At 50.3% G+C, this 17,337-nt stretch overlaps 1 protein-coding gene across 11 annotated transcripts, besides 3 other annotated features; it reads right to left on the reverse strand.

Moving 5' to 3' along the window:
* On the reverse strand, positions 161-17,064 carry C19orf12 (chromosome 19 open reading frame 12). 11 transcript variants are annotated; one of them, XM_047439496.1, is made up of 4 exons: positions 14,581-15,907; positions 9,959-14,460; positions 9,529-9,698; positions 161-4,252 (listed from the first exon to the last, which is right to left on the reverse strand). In XM_047439496.1, exons 2-4 carry the CDS (start codon positions 10,108-10,110, stop codon positions 3,987-3,989), a joined length of 588 nt encoding a protein of 195 aa, XP_047295452.1. In that variant the 5' UTR covers positions 10,111-14,460; positions 14,581-15,907; the 3' UTR covers positions 161-3,986. The 11 variants fall into 11 exon arrangements, with proteins under 11 accessions (XP_047295452.1, XP_024307503.1, XP_024307502.1 ...); NM_001256046.3 differs by lacking the exons at positions 9,959-14,460; positions 14,581-15,907 and adding an exon at positions 16,400-16,536 and having other exon boundaries at positions 212-4,067; positions 4,123-4,252; NM_001282931.3 differs by lacking the exons at positions 9,959-14,460; positions 14,581-15,907 and adding exons at positions 6,549-6,669; positions 16,400-16,536 and having other exon boundaries at positions 212-4,252.
* Positions 6,239-6,688: an enhancer, noted in NCBI's record as "active region_14416". NCBI's record gives its function as "activates an Ori minimal core promoter by ATAC-STARR-seq in GM12878 lymphoblastoid cells {active_cell/tissue: GM12878}" and the evidence as "EXISTENCE:reporter gene assay evidence [ECO:0000049][PMID:35858748]".
* Positions 16,071-16,860: a silencer, noted in NCBI's record as "silent region_10465". NCBI's record gives its function as "represses an Ori minimal core promoter by ATAC-STARR-seq in GM12878 lymphoblastoid cells {active_cell/tissue: GM12878}" and the evidence as "EXISTENCE:reporter gene assay evidence [ECO:0000049][PMID:35858748]".
* Positions 17,031-17,130: an enhancer, noted in NCBI's record as "active region_14417". NCBI's record gives its function as "activates an Ori minimal core promoter by ATAC-STARR-seq in GM12878 lymphoblastoid cells {active_cell/tissue: GM12878}" and the evidence as "EXISTENCE:reporter gene assay evidence [ECO:0000049][PMID:35858748]".

Consider the following 17,337-nt stretch of genomic DNA (forward strand, 5'->3'; position numbering starts at 1 on the left):
TCCTGTAATCTCAGGTACTTGGAAGCTGAGGCAAGAGAATCATTTGAACCAAGGAGGCAGAGGTTGCAGTGAGCTGAGATCACACCACTGCACTCCAGCCTGGGCAATAGAGCAAGACTCCGTCTCAAAAAAAAAAAAAAAAAAAAAAAAAAAAGCTGCGTACTTTTAAATCCAGCAATTTCACTTTGAGGAATGAATCCCAAAGACTATATACCAGAATTCAATAAAGAGAATATTAACACAGTATTACTGTAATACTTCAGCATTACAGTAGTAAAAATCCACAAATGGAATTCACACCAGGCACATGGTTAGGCACAGTGGAATATTATGCAGCCATTACAAATATTTACAAGGAATTTTAAATTACATCAAAAATATTATTTAACATTCATTGATACAGGTGTTCAAAGGGGCATATAGGATAAGAAGGCAAGTACGTTAGAAATATACATACATAGGCCGGGCGCAGTGGCTCACGCCTGTAATCCCAGCACTTTGGGAGGCTGAGGTGGGCAGATCACGAGGTAAGGAGATTGAGACCATCCTGGCTAACATGGTGAAACCCCGTCTCTACTAAAAATAAAAAAAAAATAAAAAAATAAAAATTAGCCGGGCATGGTGGCGGGCGACTGTAGTCAAAGCTACTCGGGAGGCTGAGGCAGGAGAATGGCTTGAACCCAGGAGGCAGAGCTTGCAGTGAACCAAGATCGCGCTACTGCACTCCAGCCCGGGCGACAGTGCGAGACTCCATCTCAAAAAAAAAAAAAAGAAAAAAAGAAAAAAATATATGTGTACCTACATAGCATTAAAACAATTGCAGGAAAGACACCAAATCTGTTACCAGCAGTTTTCTGGGTTGTGAAATTTGTAGTTTTTATTTCATTATATTTTCTGGGTTTTTCTAGGTTTTCAGCAACAAATACTGACAAAAGGAAATGAACAGTTTTCAGAGACTTACTTTAAAACAGAGTTAAAGGAATACACATGAAATTGGTAACAGTGGCTGCCTCTGGGGTCGGCATAGGAGCAGGCCTTCCCTTGCAGCTTGCGCCCTCCCGTACCTTTTAAATTTTGTACCAGGCAGGTATTACTTATTCAAAAATAAATAAATTTCTACAAAGAAGATACAGATATATAAATACTAAAACCACAGGAGCTGAGAAGCAGCGCTTGATTTCCTGGGGGAAATCAAGAAAAGTGCTTTCGGCTCCTGGGGGAGATAAGACTCCAGGTTCAGGCTGCCCTTTTAGGCCCAAAGCCTCCAAGTCACCCCAGGACCCAGCTAGTTCCAGTGTCTTCACTCAGCAAGGCCTGCTCCATCGGACACAAAACTGATCAGGAGTTGGACCATCTCCTCCCTGGGCATTTTTCCCTGCAGTAGGGGTGGGCAGGCTGTGGGAGGGGCTGCAGTGGACACTGGGCCTCTGAGCTGGGACCACCTGTGTCCCCTGGGCCTGACACAGACCAGGACCTGATGCACGAGTAAGAATGAATGGGGCCCAATCGCCTAACAAAGGCAACTCAATTTCAGCCCCGATTGTTCCAGAAGGATTTGCTGTAAGCAACCGGAGAAGTTGGCATTTGTTCAACATGGAAAAAGTGTCCCCCAACTTTGAAGCACTGAACCAAACATCTTTGTTGAGGTTTCATTCTCACGATATCTGCAAATCAACGTTTTTTCCTTCACACTAAAAACGGGCAACTTTAGAGCCCACTAAAGCTATACAAAATTGGGAGGGGGCATGCTCTGATTTTCCATTTTTAGTTCCAGGGTCCGTATGCAGGACTTATTTGCAGGAAGAGCAGGAATGATCAGTTCAACAAGAAAAGCCACACTCAGTTTTCACAGACAGACAACCCCTCCTTCCCACCCCTGCCCTGTCCCCCATCAACTTAAGTGGCATATAAATGATTAAAGTGGCTTCATTAACTCCAGGAGTGTGGCCTGTGCTAGGGCACCTGATTTGTGCTAGACGAGGCCAGCAGAAGAGCAATCGCTCTGCAAGAGAAAGGCTCGGCCCTTCCTTAATCACCATGGGTTATAATTCACCCTGACGTCCTTACACACATGGAGGTGCCAGGATACTGAGCTTTCCTATAAGCAGGGCCTCAGCAGAAGTGCCTCCCTCCGAGCCTCCAGGGCCTGAGAGGAGAGCCCCAAGTCCCTGCCCTGCCCCAGGACCTGGGGACCAAGGAATAACATTTTTTGTAGAGATGGAGGTCTCACTATATTGCCCAGGCTAGTTTCAAACTCTTGGCCTCAAGCGATCCTCCCACTTTGGCCTCCAAAAGTGCCGACATTACAAGCATGAGCCACCTCACCTGACCTACTCTTGCATTCTTTAAAGCCACAAATCTGGTACCTTCCCTCTTGTTCCATTTGTAAGACTTTGAATATTAGAGATATTTTACACATAATATGTGGGAAAATGGCTTTTTAGAAAAACATTTATTGTAATCGATCACATTCAAGTCGTAGTTCTGAAAGCAAAGTGAAAACACACAGTACAGCTATGCCTCAGTATCCATGGGGGATGGGTTCCAGGACTGCAACCTCAACCCTCAGACACCGACATCTGAGGATGCTCAAGTCCCTGATGGGCAATGGCATAGCGTTTGCACGTAACCTACGCACACCTTCCTGTATAATTTAAATCATCTCTAGATTTCTTATAATACCAAATACAATATAAATGCTATGTAAATATGCTACACCATATTGTTTAGGGAATAATGGCAAGAAAAAAAGGTCTGTACGTGTTCAGTACCAATGCAATTTCTTTTTTCAAATATTTCCTATCCAAGGCTGGTTGGATCTAAATGTGGAGACCACAGTTACGGAGAGCTGACTGTACTGGGGAAATCTTTAGGGTAGAAACATTTCTTAGAGATGGTTTATATCACACCACTTCAGAAAGAGCAATACAGGCATACCTCATTCTACTATGCTTTGTGAATACTGTGTTTTTTTTTTAAATTGAAGGTTTGTAGCAGCCTGGCATCAGGCAAGTCTATTTGGCACCATTTTCCAACAGCATGTGCTCACTTTGCGTTTCTGTGTCAGCATTTTGAACAGTAAATATTTTTAAATTAAGGTTTGTACATTTGTTAGACATAATGCTATTGCACATTTAGTGGACTGCAATATGCAGTAAACATGACTTAGATGCACTGGGAAACTAAAACAATGCGCTTCCTTGCTTTATTGTGATGTTGGCTTTACCGAGGTGGTCTGGAACTGAACCCACAATATCTCCGAGATATACCTGTACTTTTTACTAAAAATATTTCATTTGAGAAGTAAACCTCAAGAACTACCAGGACTTTTCAGATGGGAAGAGCGAGGCCCTGGCAGGGCGAGTCTAGGTGTGCAGCCTAGTGGGGGCCGGGGTCAAGTCCACTCGGTATTTGTGGCTTCACTCAGCAGGCCGCCCGTCCCCTCCGTGGGGCCATTCGACAGTCCCTGGGTAGGGGACGGTTGCACTAGGAGGTAAACATGATTCCAGCATGGGCTGCTCCAAGGCCCTGAGACCCCAGGACCTGCAGGGGGGTGGGATCCAGTCCTGCAGCAGGTGCTCTGAAGAGGAGTCATCTCCCAAGATGAGAAGGCCCCGGGGGGAGGATGAAGTGTGGTCAGACCGTCGGCTGAGCGTGATCACTTCCCCAGACCCATGCGGGTGAGAGGACTCAGCAGACGCCTCCGAAGCCTGCGGCAGGCAGGCCTTTACTCTTCACTGGGGGGCCAGTCAGAGGGCTGTCATGGCAGGCCAGTGCACATGCCACCAACACATGCTGCTTCATCAGTAATTTCTGGAACATGACACTGCACAGCGGTGGCCTCTCCAGCGGGACATTACTAGTAATACACTGATGATGTGGAGATTCCCCAGGGGGCATCCGCTGGGCTTCTCCCAACTCCCAAGCCACCTCTTCAGAATCACAGAGTCATTTAAAGGGGCCCCCCACCTCCCCGGAGGTGCGGCCTAGTCATCATACTGGATCTCGGCCCGCAGCTCCTTGGTGACGTAGTTCACCAGCATGGCCAGCAGCTGCTGCTGCAGGGCCTCGCTGCCCATGACCAGCGCGGTCAGCTGCACGGCGTCCGTCCACTCCAGGTGCCTGATGATGGCTGCGGCTTCGTTAAAGAGCCTCTGTTGCTCGGCAGGGGGCAGCTCCATTAGGATCTGAGGAACCGGCTTAAACTGTCCACTTGTCATCCAGGCACCTAACAGCCCCCCGACAGCCCCCCCTAGAAAACATGGAATCGTTCAATTAGTGGGTCTTATTCATAAGCGATGGCCTTACTTAAGTTCCCACTGAGTGCACACCACCATCACCATGAGCAGGCACATTCATGAGCGGGCTGCAGCGGGCTCAGCCGGTGCCACGCCTGCTCCGCCAGCCAGTGTGGAGGGCAAAGGTTTATGCAGTCTTCTGTCCATTTGGCTCAGATAATTGACACCCAACATGCATTCCCTGGGCTCCACATTTAAGGATGCAAAATGAAGCCTGCCTGCCCCATCTCCCACCTCAGTGCTGGGCCCACTTTCTTCTTCATGAGCTGACGGAGGTTTCTGGGCTTACTGTAAAAATCCCTCTCTAATCACAAAGGAGAAGGCTGAGAAACAAATGCATTTTCTTTTTCTTTTCTTTTTTTTTTTTTTTTTTTTGAGACGGAGTCTTGCTCTGTTGCCCAGGCTGGAGTGCAATGGCATGATCTTGGCTCGCTGCAACCTCTGCCTCCCAGGTTCAAGCGATTCTCCCACCTCAGCCTCCCAAGTAGCTGGGATTACAGGCGCACACCACCACACCTGGCTAATTTTTGTATTTTTGTAGAAACAGGGTTTCACCATGTTGGCAGGCTGGTCTTGAACTCCTGACCTCAGGTGATCCGCCTACCTCGGCCCCGCAAAGTGCTGGGATTATAGGCATGAGCCACCACAACCAGCCACAAATGCATTTTCAAGAGAAACCATCTCAGGCTGGGTGCGGTGGCTCATGCCTGTAATATCAGCAATTTGGGAGGCCAGGGCAGGTGGATCACCTGAGGTCAGGAGTTCGACACCAGCCTGGCCGACATGGTGAAACACCATCTCTACTAAAAATACAAAAATTAGCTGGGCTTGGGGGCACATGCCTGTAATCCCAGATACTTGGAAGCTGAGGCAGGAGAATCACTTGAACCCGGGAAGTAGAGGTTGCAGTGAGCCGAGATCATACCCTTGCACTCCAGCCTGGGTGACAGAGCAAGACTCTGTCTCCAAAAAAGAAACCATCTCAGTGGTGAGACTGAATTTCCTCCACCAGGCAGCTGATATGCTCCTTGCCCCTGAACTTAGAAAATCTTCAGTGAGCCCATGTGGTTAAAGGACCTGGGGACAGATAAGGAGGCTCTTTCCTCTTGAAGCAGTGCTTTTCATAGATCCCCTCCAAGTTGTATGATCGATAAATAACAAACTGGCCGGGCGCAGTGGCTCACGCCTGTAATCCCAGCACTTTGAGAGGCCGAGGTGGGCGAATCACGAGGTCAGGAGTTGGAGACTAGCCTGGCCAACATGGTGAAACCCTGTCTCTACTAAAAATACAAAAAATTAGCCAGGCATAGTGGTGGGTGCCTGTAATCCCAGCTACTGGCTGAGGCAGGAGAATCACTTGAACCCGGGAGGCAGAGGTTGCAGTGAGCCAAGACTGTGCCACTGCACTCCAGCCTGGGCGACAGAGTGAGACTCCATCTCAAAAAAATAAAAATAAATATCAAATGTAAGGTAGCTTACTATTTCTACTTCTGCCACCCTAAAAGGGCAGAAACATTATTGTTAAATGTAAACTCATTGCCAAGGCTATGTCATGCTATTCTGGGACTTAAAGACCTTGTATCCACGGAAAGTTCTACCTGAAGAGGCCACGTGCAGAATATGGTGCAGAGAAGCGGAAGGTGCCCTAGGGAAGGGGTCCAAAGTCAAGTGCCTCCAAGAGCCAGGGAGGAACTAAGAAGAGTGAAGGGGCGGTTGGGCCTTACCCGGCCTCTCCCCTGCTGAGATTGGATGGGTGGCAGGCTCTGACTTCATCCCAGTCTATAGTCTGGGCCAACCAAGCCTTGAATCGCATGGACCTTCCGAGGCCCAGGACACAGAAGAGCTGGACAGCTTGGTTCCTATGGAGTGGCAGTGGCTACTTCACGCCAGTTCATTGCTACCACACAAAATACCAGATTTGTAGCTTTAAAACATCTCACGATTTTTAAATATCACCAATCAGATATTTAAAGATGAAGCCCACTAGACTTAGTGACTCACTTTCAACAGACAGAGTATGGAAAGGGAAACAGAAACTTTGCAGTGGAAAAACCCAGCAAACATGCCCTTAACCAAGTGTTCAAGGTGAATATCACTGACGTCATGTGAATATCACACACCCCCAGAATTAATGCAAGACAAGGGAGAGGGGCATGTCACCTCCCAGGCATGCCTCCCAAAGACTCCTAACTCCAGTCCCATCCTAAACACAACTGGCAAATTCAAACTGAGAGATGTTCTACGAAATACCTGCCCAGTACTCCTCAAAACTATCAAGGCTGTGAACAAGGCAAGTCTGAGAAAGTGTTAAAGGCCAGAGGAGACTAAGAAAGCAGGCGATTCAATGCAATGCGGTGTCTTAGACTGGATCCTGAAACCAAAAAAAAAAAAAAAAAAAAAAGGCCATTAATGCAGAAACTGGTGAAACCCAAATCAAGTCTGGAGAATGGTTAATAGTAATGTATTCGTTGGTGTTGGTTTCTTAGGTTTTTTTTTTTTTTTCCTTAGACAGAATCTCACTCTGTTGCCCAGGTTGGAGTGCAGTGGTGTGATCATACCTCACTGCAGCCTCAAACTCTTAGGCTCAAGCAATCCTCCCACCTTGGCCTCCTAAGTAGCTGGGATTACAGGCATGAACCACCATGCCTGGCTAATTTTTTTTTTATTATTTTTCGTAGAGACGGGGTCTCATTATGTTGCCCAGTCCGGTCTCGAACTGCTGGGCTCAAGCAATCTTTCAGCCTCAAGCCTCCCAAAGTGCTGAGACTACAGAGGCATGCGCCACTGCACCCAGCCCATTTTAGTTTTGACAAGCATACAGTAATACATGTGATCGCTAGGAGAACCGAAACTGGATGGAAGATATACAGGAATCCTTTGTACTATCTTCACGACTTCTCTGTAAACCTAATATTATTGGGAAATGAAAAGTTTCTTTCAAAAATGCAACCCAGGCCAGAGAGAACCCACTGGCAGGCTGGACTCAGACAACAGGCAGCAAAACCAGCGCTTGCTTCTTCTGGAAGCCAAGCACCGAGGCCCCTGGAGCAGACACCACCCCGGGTACTGAGCTGGGGCCAGCCCCATATCCCAGAGGCTGAATGCCACACGCAGACAGGGTTCACCTCCTCTGCAAAAGAAAGGCACATTCTGGGAAGGGAAAACCAGCTAATTTACAAGTTTTACTGAACTTTTCCCCATGACACCAGTGAAATGCTCCAAGTCGACAAGAGTTGCACTCATGTGCACTAAACCTTTATGAGAACATCAATATTTGATTTAGAGCAGCACTTAATGCAAAAAGTCGCCAGGAATATCGACCAGCAAATTACTGGCTCTTTGGAGAGGAGAAAATTCCTTTGTTTTCAGGGTAAAATGATGCTCCCGCCCATGACCAGGGACTGGAAGTAGTGAATCCCCCGGGCTCTCTTAGTGGACATCCTGTTCTCTACCAGCTTTTACTCAATCTGAATAAAATATGTGCTCCCAAAATAGCATCTGGGCACAGCTATATGACAAAATGATCCCCAAAGCCTTCCCCTGAGCACTGAGATGGAGGTGGGGGCACAGATGCACAGTGTCATCGAGGAAGAAGGAAACAGCCTTGTCTCCCCCATCTCCGGTTCCTTCCCGGATGGCAAGATGCTGAAGTCAGGCCTCACTAATTCATGGAGTTTGGAAAGGAAAATATGGAAAGGGAAGGTCTGGGGCCACCCACACATTTATTTTTCTCCTCAGTGTGAGCCTCAGCTTAACGAAATGTCCTTGAATGTCAATCCCACTACAGAAGGGAAGAACAGGGCAGGAACCCGGCCAGCGAGCTGGGGAACGGAAGCCAACCTCAGCAGAAAAGTTCAGCTCTCTGACTCCATCTATGGTTTGGGCCACAGCCCCAGGCCAGGTAGACCTTCTGAGGCTCAGGACACAGGAATTCTTCCTTCCCCAAGCCAAAGAAAGTAACTTCATCCCAGCTCCAAGGAACAGTGGAAAAATTAGCCAAACTTTCATTCATTGCCTGAAATTGATTCTCAAATAGAAGCAGGTGGTAAATGGCCAGGCACAGTGGCTCACGCCTGTAATCCTAGCACTTCGGGAGGCCCAGGCGGGTGGATCGCTTGTGGCCAGGAGTTTGAGACCAGCCTGGCCAAAAGGACAAAACCCTGTCTCTACTAAAAATACAAAAATTAGCCGGGTGTGGTGGCACACACCCGTAGTCCCAGCTACTCAGGAGGCTGAGGCAGGAGAATCACTTGAACCCACAAGGCAGTGGTTGCGGTGAGCCGAGATCATGCCACTGCACTCCAGTGTGGGCGACAGAATGAGACTCGGTCTCAAAAAGGAAAGAAAAAAGCAGGTGGTAAAGGAGGTGGGCAGGCCCTCTAAGGGTGAAAGGCAGTTCTTTTGGTGGTCTCTTTCAGAACAAGGGAGCTCTCTCAGAGTGAGCTGGCTCACATGAAATGGCCACACCATATGTGCTGAGAAGGTGCATGGCTCCTCCCAGCCTCCTCCCTGGTTTCCTTTCTGCAGGGACCTCACAGTCATGAAGGCCACCATGGGACCCAGGACACCCTGGTATCTTCAGAGGCCTGCTGCTCTGATACTTATTCTGGGATCCCAGCACTGGGGGAAAGATGCCTCTAGGCCCAAATGACACAGATGCCATTTACAAGAGTACCCCACACTTCTGAGACATTCACACAGAAGCCTGCATTTCCAATGGGGCAAATTATATCTACAAAGATCATTTCCCAGAGGCATCTTTAACTCCACCAACTCCTCCCACAAGACGCATGGCACCACTTGTACAAGTTCATTTCTCCCTGTGTTTCTTTTCTTTTTTCTTTTTCCTTTTTTTTTTTTTTCTTTGAGATAGAGTCTCGTTCTGTCACCCAGGCTGGAGTACAATGGCATGATCTTGGCTCACTGCAATCTTTGCCTCCCGGGTTTAAGCGATTCTCCTGCCTCAGCCTCCCGAGTAGCTGGGATTACATACACCAGACACCCGCCACCACGCCCAGCTATTTTTTGTATTTTTAGTAGAGACGGGGTTTCACCATGTTGGCCAGGCTAGTCTCAAACTCCTGACCTCAGGTGATCCGCCCGCCTCGGCCTCCCAAAGTGCTGGGATTACAGGCATGAGCCACACTGTGCCTGGCCTTCTCCCTGTGTTTCAACGGCCCTTTTATGACATCCCCGAGGCTGGCTATCTCTGTGAGACACCTGCACTTACCAACGGCGAGTCCCGGTGGGCCGCCCACCAAACCCCCGACGAAGGCCATGGCCCCTGTGACCAGGGCACCCTTCCCAGAGTGCTTGACAGCCGCCTTCATCTTCCTCTCCCCAGAAAGGGAGCACAGCAGCTTCATGATGTCCTCCACCATGATAGTCATCGTGGCGGGCCTTCGAGGGAGAAGTTCAGAGGGACAGTTTCAATGAGCATAAGAGTATTTCCATCACAATGCCACTCTAGTTCCTAGAGTTTTAAGGAAGGGTCCCCCTTTTCAGGAAAGCTCAGCAGCTCCAAGCGCCTGTATGACAGACAGCATCCAGACGGTGGAAAGTTCCCACAGACAGGACAGGCAGCAGTTAGTGAATAAGCAAATAGCAGCAGCTGAGTGGATGAAAGGTCTTCTTTGCCCTCTGATTAACTTCTGACTTACGACAGATTAAGGAGCAACCCGGCCACATGTTCTGCTGGTTCATCACGAGGGAGGTGGTCTGACCCTTCTGGCATTAGTGGCCTTTGCACTGGCCCGGGGAATGCCCTGCACACAAAGCCCAGCAGAGAACGGGAAGTCCCGGCGTGAGGCATCTGAGCTGAGGCCAAGCCAGAGCCAGGGAAGGGATGGGACCCTGTGACCACACGGGCACTGACCTGCAGTGGGCCCTGAGCAGAGGGTCAGATACCTCCCTTCTAAGACGGAGACAGTCCCTACAGGCTGGACTCTCAGACAGTGCCAGCAGGATGGGCAGGAAGTGCCTGGCGTAAGTCTGGAAGCCTGCAGGCTCCCGACCCAGGATGGCTCTGAACGAACACTGTTACTAACACACACACTGGGCTGCCTTAAGCAACTGTTCTTAAAAGTCAACACAGTTGTACCCATGGGACACTAAAAGCAGGGAAAAGATAAAGCAGGGAGACAAAGCAACTGGAGAAAAAATACATGAAATCATTCCCAGGCTTTGCAATATATATGAATAGACAGACGGACGGGCGAGTAGACCTTTAGCACAATGACCTTTAGCACAATCCTCCAGGGTAGGGAAAATGTGTGGCATGCTGGAGCCAGGGCAGGGAGAGACGGGCTCTGGAGAGCCCAAAGGCTGAGAAAATCAAAGGGGCCACGAGGTGGGGGGTCTCCTCAGAGCTCTGGCTGAGCCCAAGGCTCCAGCAGTACTTCCCTTTCTCACCAGCACTTCCCATTTCATTCTAGGTGGAAATATTGAAACAGGTGCTACAGCAATTCAACTGAGGAAGTTATGGATAGATTCTATTGCTTATTATCTTTTTTTTTTTTTTTTTTGAGATGGGGTCTTGCTTTGTTGCCCAGGCTGGAGTGCAGTGGCATGATCACAACTCACTGCAGCCTTGACCTCCTGGGCTCAAGCGATCCTCCCACCTCAGCCTCTTGAGTAGATGGGACTACAGGTATGCAATCACCACGCCCAGCTAATTTTATTTTTATTTTTAGTAGAGATGACTACTATGTTGCCCAGGCTGGTCTTGAACTCCTGGGCTCAAGAGATCCTCCTGCCTTAGCCTCTCAAAGTGTTAGGATTACAGGCGTGAGCCACTACATTTGACCTTAATATCTTTGGGTTATATGTTTTATGAGGTTTTTTTGTTTTGTTTGTTCGTTTGTTTTTAAGAGACAGTGTCTCTTGTTGCCCAAGCTGGTGTGCAGTGGTGCGATCATGGCTGACTGCAGCCTTGAACTCCTGGGCTACAGTGATCCCCCCACCTCAGTCTCCTGAGTAGCTGGGGCTAAAGGCATGCAACACTACGCTCAGCTAATTTTTTGTTTTCATAGAGACAGGGTCTCGCAATGTTGCCCAGCCTGGTCTTGACTTCCTGAGCTCAAGCAATCTTCCTGCCTCAGCCTCCCAGAGTACTGGGATTACAGGTGTGGGCCACCGTACCCAGACATGTGTGCTTTTCTGACCCAAGGATGATCCAGAAGCAGAAGTCCCTACTGTAAAATTGCTCTCCCAATCCTGGGATATAATTTTGAGCCCAGAGAACAAACCCATGAATCCATGAGAGGACCGCAAAGCCAGGTCCTCAGAACTTCTCTGCAGTCCCAGGAGAGCATCCTGCGCTCCTGCCCCTGTAAATTTCCCTTCTTTTTCCCCGTTGGTACACATTAGACCTGTGATTCTCCACAAGTGCACGGGAATCACTGAAAACCTTGTCAGATACAGCCAGTATGGGAGGGTAAGATTCTGCATTTCCAACAAGCCCCCAAAGTGCTCCTCTGATCTCACTTTGGGCAGCAAGACCCCAAGAGGGCATAACGCAGGACTCTGACATTCGTTACTCAGTCTTCAAATTCAGAAATTGCAAACAAGCACCCCTAGATATGTCTTTTTGTCCCCATGGAGTATGAGAGGCAGTGGGAGGGCAGGCCTTGTGAGCCCTGCTCACATAAGGGACTGGAGGAGCACTCAGGCCTGGGGGTCCCTGCTCTGGCTACCCTGTGCCCTGGGTCTCCCAAAACCTGGTCTCCTGCTTTCCAGGCCCTGCCCAGCTCCTTTGCTTGCTGACAGGTTGAATGCCTCCTCCTTCTCCCCAGAAGAGAACCCCCTTCCACTATTCCAGTGGTCAAGATTTGTTTACATACAAATGTCTAAACGATAAAATGGCATTATAACAGTGTCAGGACTGAACAGGCAGAAGCCACCTGGAAATGGGGAGACGGAGCGCAGAACCTGATTTATCCAGTCACCATGGTCCTGAAAAGCTATCACACAAACAAAATGACATAGATAGCTAGATAGAGATATACAGAGAGGTTTTTTTTTTTTTTTTTTTTTTGAGACAGAGTCTGCTCCGTCACCTAGGCTGGAGTGTAGCGGCGCGATCTCGGCTCACTGCAGCCTCCGCCTCCCACGTTCAAGCGATTCTCCTGCCTCAACCTCCCGAATAGCTGGGACTACAGACATGCACCACCACACCTGGCTAATTTTTGTATTTTTAGTAGAGATGGGGTTTCACCATGTTGGCCAGGCTGGTCTTGAACTCCTGGCCTCAGGTGATCTGCCTGCCTTGGCCTCTCAAAGTGCTGGGATTATGGGCGTGAGCCACTACGTCCAGCACAAAATGAGATATATTTGAAGTACATATTAAAGTAACCAAAGGAAATAATTTTACAGTAAAATCTTACAAAAAGCTCAAAATCCTGGTGTAAAATATCTAATCACCTTTGAGCTTAGTTCTGGTTTATATCCAGCTTTTCATCTGTCAATTATATTGGAAAAAGAGAGGCACTGCCCAGGTCTCAGGAGGGCCCCTTTGGAGGCTGCAAGGAACCTCCCTTTCCCCGGGCGTGAAGACCCTGAGCCCTGCCATGCTTGGTCTGCAAGGCTGGCTTCCAGGCCAGCACCCAGACACCACTCCCAAAACAGGTTTTCTGCAGTTTTGGGTCTGCACTCTCAAAACAGTTTCTGCACAGCAAGAAAATGCATGTAGAAGTGGAAAGAAGGAAGGCAGGAAACAGATACATAACCACTTTAGCTCTACTGGCTTCCCCCCCCAAAAAAAACCTAGCTTCCGACCTGCTCCGAATGACTTGAGGTGAAAATCTACAGAGGCTAAAGAGATGTCCTTGCAAAAATGCTACTTCCAGCTCTACCTGCTCCAGCCAGGCCAGCATCAATGTGAGAGGAGAGAGAGAAATCAATTAGGCAAATAGTTAGGGCAAGGGTCCTTGGCAGAATTCCCTTCTAACAAAAAGCAGCCTAAGAAGTCGTTGCCCTTTCAGGAAACACAGATAAGGAAGGCAAGCTCTAACACAGAAAGCGGGTCCCCTGTGTGACATACAGACATATGGTGGGCCCCAGTAAGCACAGTCCTCTCCCTTCTTAGAAATACTCAAGACACGGCCGGCCACGGTGGCTCACGCTTGTAATCCCAGCACTTTGGGAAGCCGAGGTGGGCAGATCACGAGGTCAAGAGATCGAGACTATCCTGGCCAACATGGTGAAAACCCATCTCTACTAAAAAAATACAAAAATTAGCCAGGTGTCATGGTGCTCGCCTGTAATCCCAGCTACTTGGGAGGCTGAGGCAGGAGAACCACTTGAACCCGGGAGGTGGAGGTTGCAGTGAGCTGAGATCACACCACTGCACTCCAGCCTGGCAGCAGAGTGGGACTCCGTCTCAAAAAAAAAAGAAAAAAGAAATACTCAGACACAGAGGCTTGCATGGCACTGATAAGAAGAGCTACCCTGGACCAGGCATGTCTACCTTGGAGTGTTCTTCCCCCCCACCACCCAACCTTTTTCACACATGCACAGTAGGAAGAAATAAGCAACATGGAGTAGTAACTCAGGCTAAGAAGCCCACATGTGCACTAGAAACAGTGGGGCGGGGGACTCAGAAATTCGCACCTTATGTAAATGAAGCACCCCTCCCACCAGCTTTTCTATAAAAACCCTTGCATTTCACTGTAAAATGGCAACCCATCTTTCTGGGACCCCTCTCTGATCCAGAGAGCTTTCTTTCTTTTGCTTATTAAACTTCTGCTCTAACCTACCCTCTGGAGTGTCTGCGTCCTTGATTTCCTTGGCCATGAGACCCAGAACTTCAGTGATATCTCAGACAATGAGGCAGGTTTCACTGAGACACAAGCCCAGGGTTCTGCAGAATGGGAGGGCCAGCAGCTATCACTGCGTGTGTGAGGGCAGGCAGAGGAAGTCACTGTGTTTTAATAGTCCAGCACCACGGGTAGAGATGTTGTGGCTGACTCCATCCAAGGTTCAATTTCTTTGTAGTAATCATTTCAGAAGTTAGAGCATTAACAGGCTCTTGTTGGGGAAGAAAGGTTAGTAACTCCATCTCCTGAGCCCTTGCTAAAAAGCTCAGCTTCCTGAATTCTCCAGGCTCACCAGATTGAGAGGGAAGCCCACCCTGCTCCTTCTCCCACCGCAAGGCTGCCTTTGTCTGTAAATGACAGGGAAGTGGGTGAGGAGGGAGGATGGGGACAGACCTTAGGGGGTGGGAGTGTGGCTCCCCCTCCCCCACTGTATCACACCTATTTCACACTCAGATTTATCCACATACCAGGCCTTGATCACAGGAAGCCCATCTGCCAGCCACAGGGAAGGCAAATGCCAACTGGAAGCCCCGGTTTCTTGCAGGCGCCCAGGCTGCTCTGACAGGTACAGAGAGACGGAGACAAGCCCATCTCACCGAGAGCGGCCTAGCTTTCTGAGTTTGGACCAGATTGTAAGAGATAAGGGAGAGGAAGGCTTCAGATAGCTATGAAGAGAGCTATCTGACCTCCAAGTACCCTTTTCTTTAACAAAAAATTAGATCTGGCTCTTGTCAACATTGACCTCCCACCTCTCCATACCCCAGCGCAAAGGCAGTAGGTGGATCCCACCAGCAAACAGTTTTGGATTAGCTCATAGTTGTTGTTTTTTTAAAACAAATTAGTTGCCAATATTTAAAAATCAGGAGATTTTGCATGCACCTCAGATTCCTGATTTCTCCTGAAAAATCAGAAGACCAGATCACATTGGACCTGCCATTCTGTGTAGCAATGGAGGCCAGGGCTGAGCAGGGGCCGTCCCCTGCCCACCCCCATACAGCAGGGCCCTGCCCTCCCTACCCCAGCTCCTCCTGGCAGCATGCACCTTACCTATCTACTTGATCAATAAACAGATCACTTCAAAGCTTCTCAAAGTATCCCTCTTTCTTTTTTTCTTTCTTTCCTTCCTTCCTTCCTTCCTTTTCTCTTTCTCTTTCGTTCTCTCTCTCTCTCTTTCTCTTTCCCTCTCCCCTTCCTTCCTGCTTTTTGTTGTTGCTGGTGTTGTTGTTGTTTTTTCCAGAAACGCAGTCTCCCTGTGTTGCCTAGGCTGGTCGGGAACTGGCCTCAAGCAATTCTTCCGCCTCGGCCTCCCGAGTAGCTGGAACTACAGGTGCTATTCCAAGATGGTGAAACCCCGTCTCTACTAAAAAATACAAAAATTGGTCGGGGTGGCTCACGTCTGTAATCCCAGCATTGCAGAAGGCTGAGGCAGGTGGATCGCAAGGTCAGGAGTTTGAGATTAGCCTGGCCGATATGGTGAAACTCCGTCTCTACTAAAAATACAAAAAAATTAGCCAGGCTTGGTGGTGTCGCCTGTAATCCCAGCTACTAGGGAGGCTGAGGCAGGGGAATTGCTTGAACGAGGGAGGTGGAGGTTGCAGTGAGCCGAGATCGCGCCATTGCACTCCAGCCTGGACAACAGAGCAAGACTGTCTAAACAAAAGCTCAACAAACTACCTGCCATCCCCAAAACTAATCTCACCTCCTAAAGCATTAACGACCCTTCCTGACCAAATCTAAACTAGCGCCCAGATTTTCTTCCCATATGGCTCAGCCCAGCTCCGCTGCCCCACAGGTGTCCTGTCAGGATCCGCTTCACATTTATAATACCTAGCACCCCACCCCCAGCCCCGCCCCTGCCCCACCAGCCACCCCCACTCTACCCCACCCCTACCCATCACATTCCGCACCCCACCCCCGCCAAACCCACATCCCCACCCCACCCAACCTCACCCACTCCCACCACATCCACCACCCGCACCCCACCCCCACCCACCACACCCATGCCTACGCCACTCCTGGGTGACAGCGAGCCAGGGCCCGGGACTCTAGTCCCAGCTCTGCTGCTTACTTGTGTGACTTCAGCCTCTCCATGCCTCAGTTTCTCCATAGGGACAATGACTACACTAACAGTGTCCACCCCGGCACCGGGAGGGCCGGGCTCCCGGCAGGGCGGGGACCCTCTCCCCAAGGCACTCCCGGGTCTCCAGGCCTGCTCTTGGGGTGCCCCCTCCTCTCGCGGGGCGCGGCCTGGGAGGCGCCCCGCCCCGGCTCCGGGCGCTCCTTTACCTGGGGGAGCGGAGGTCTACGCGGCGCGCTCGGCGATCAGACGCGGCTGCAGCCCGGGCCTGGCAGGCCCCGGGCTCCCCGCCCAGCTCCCCAGCCCCGCGGAGGGTCGCGCAGGCCTTGGTGGCGGCCCCGGCGCTGGCCCCGCCCTCCGTCCCACCTTCCGGCTGCGCCGGGCCTTCCGGGAAGCCACGCGCCGGGCCAGCTCCTGGCTCCGAGCTGCGCCCGGCCTTAGGGGGAGCCGGGGGTCGCTGCTGGGCACCCCCTCCCCGGTCCTGGCCCACCCCGCCGCTGTCACCGGGGCCCTGGCTTGGGTTGCGGGTGGCGTAAGGAGACGAGGCGCCCGGAGAAGAGTCCTGGGAACCGCAAGGCCGCGCTCCCGCAGGCCCAGCCCTGCCTTTCTCCCACGCGCACGCATGATCACATCCGGGCCCCGCGCACCTGCCTCCAGGACCGCGGGGACCTCCCGGAGACCTCCCTCCCTTTGGCCTGGAGGACCCCTCTCTCCCCGCAGCCTGGGCACAGAAGAGAGCACAGGGGCATCTGGAGGTCAAGGGTGCTGCGTCAGTATTTGGTGAATGTGTGGGCCGGAGCCAGATTTCCTCTGTTCCAGAGCCTGCTCTGGAGCCTCTGGGTCTGGGGGTTGCAAAAGGAGAAGCAGGTTGGGTGGGACTCGTAATCCCAGCTGCCAGTGAGGCTGAGGAGGGAGGATTGCTTGAGCCCAGCAGTTCGAGCGTGGGCAACACAGTGACATCCCATCTCTACAAATAATAATAAAAATTAGGCCGGGTGGGTGAGTCATACCTGTGACCTACAGCATTTTGGGAGGCTGAAGCGGGAGGATTGCTTGAGCCCAGGAGTTCGAGGCTGCAGTGAACTATGATCCCACCACTGCACTTCAACCTGGGTGACAGAGTGAGACCGTCTCTTAAAGAAAGAAA

The sequence above is a fragment of the Homo sapiens genome, chromosome 19, assembly GCF_000001405.40.
Source record: "Homo sapiens chromosome 19, GRCh38.p14 Primary Assembly".
Taxonomy (NCBI): Eukaryota; Metazoa; Chordata; class Mammalia; order Primates; family Hominidae; genus Homo; species Homo sapiens.

Excerpts from the sequence above, each read along its gene's own strand:
- C19orf12 (XM_047439496.1), bottom strand. The coding sequence starts at position 10,110 with ATGCCTCACGCCGGGACTTCCCGTTCTCTGCTGGGCTTTGTGTGCAGG. Across the intron at positions 9,699-9,958 it reads GGGTTGCTCCTTAATCTGTC|GCCCGCCACGATGACTATCA; the intron begins GTAAGTCAGAAG and ends TCTCCCTCGAAG. Across the intron at positions 4,253-9,528 it reads CCCACCGGGACTCGCCGTTG|GGGGGGCTGTCGGGGGGCTG; the intron begins GTAAGTGCAGGT and ends CATGTTTTCTAG.